Raw genomic sequence first — 1,799 nt, 5'->3', positions numbered from 1 at the left:
CAGGAGATAGAGACCTTCCTGGCTAACACGGTGAAACCCATCTCTACTAAAACTACAAAAAATTAGCCGGGCATGGTGGCATGCGCCTGTAATCCCAGCTACTCAGGAGGCTGAGGCAGGAGAATCACTTGAACCCAGGAGGCAGAGGCTGCAGCGAGCTGCACCACAGCCTGGGCGACAGAGCAAGACTCTGTCTCAAAAAGAAGAAGAATTGACATGGTTTCATTTTACATCTTCAGCCACCAGGGTGCAATTGCTTTAGCTCTCTCTGCCCAAAATTTATGAAAAATCTTTGTGCTCTAACTTGCGTCAGGAGCCAAAACTTGTAGAATTATGAAGGCCCTCATATTTATAAACAAATCATACATTCAGTTTTACCTGAGATATTTGAAGTCTCTCTATATTTTATCATTTAATCATTAATAGCATGTATTAATGTATACAAAAGGTAAATTAGATTATATTGATTCAATAAATAATTACACTTTAAAATCTGTTGATTAATTATGAACTTCACTTCTTAAGAAGTTTTACACTTCTTACACTTTCAAAATTTTCTAGTTTAAATAACAAATTATAAGTTCACCCTACATAGTTACCAAGTGCTTGGGATAAGAAAGCTCTTGCAATGGAAGTGCTAGGCTGACAACTTTAAATATCTACTAGGATAACTTAAAAAAACAAGCAATTTTTAGGCACCTACTTTGTTCTTTGAAAATGTCTTATGACTTTTCTTTCCCAATTTGGATGAATAAACTATATTTTACTTTACAGGTTCTTTTAATTAACATTCTTTACATTATCCCATTTTGCATATCACATAGCACATCACAAAATGCTGAAAAAGTCAAACATCAGGGAATAGCGTAGCTTCTACTTTGATAAATCAAAAGTGCCAGATATCATAGGCCTTTTTTCTAATGTTATTGGCATTCTTTAACATAGTTAGGACAGGAAATTAAATTATCTGATATCTGCTGCAGCTTAATAGACTAAGAAAAAAGGAAAAAAATAAATAAGGGATAAAATGCTTATAAAAAAGCATTTGCTAAAGTGAGTATGGATTAAGAAAAGCAAACCTTTATCAACAAGCATCATTTTAAAACATTACAATGACATACTTGCTCTTGAAATTTGACTGGAATTCTGCTGAAACCCTTTATTCTCTAGCTACAAACCATTCACTCTAATTTCCTCTTCATTTAAAATAGCCATTTTTTCTCCTGCAAAGGATGCAGTAGTTATGTTCCTAAGGGTGTTTAAATGGCATGAATGTACAGCCATGCAATGCACGGCTTTTTAAAAGGGTCAATAATGACAATTTATTTACCAATTCTGATGATTGAACGTGAAGCAATAGAAACCACAGACGGAAATTGTTATCAGACAAATAGGGGTTTTTTGCAAGAATGAACCTCCATTGCAACTACTCCAGGCTAACTTCAAAAGTGTCTAAAGAGCAATTGGATCATAAGGAGCAATTATAGATCAAAATTGTATCATTCTGCCATCATGAACATGTCATTGAGAAAAATATATAAAGAACAAAAATACAGCCATGGCAACAATTATACAGCCTTTATCCCATGCTGCACCTTCTAGGAGCATTATTTTTTTCAGAATATAGAAATATTTTTCAAGTTAACGCACTAAAACCCTATGAAAGAATTATACAGTTATTTGATGAAGACTGACCATCAGGCAAGATATTAGTTGCTTATATTGTGTCTAGGCCTTGGGAATCACTGTCTTAGATAAAAGTACTCTTGATAACTTTTTATGACAAATAAAATATACGA

This window comes from Homo sapiens, chromosome 13 (assembly GCF_000001405.40).
Source record: "Homo sapiens chromosome 13, GRCh38.p14 Primary Assembly".
Lineage (NCBI taxonomy): Eukaryota > Metazoa > Chordata > Mammalia > Primates > Hominidae > Homo > Homo sapiens.
Note: the sequence above shows the minus strand (reverse complement) of the source record.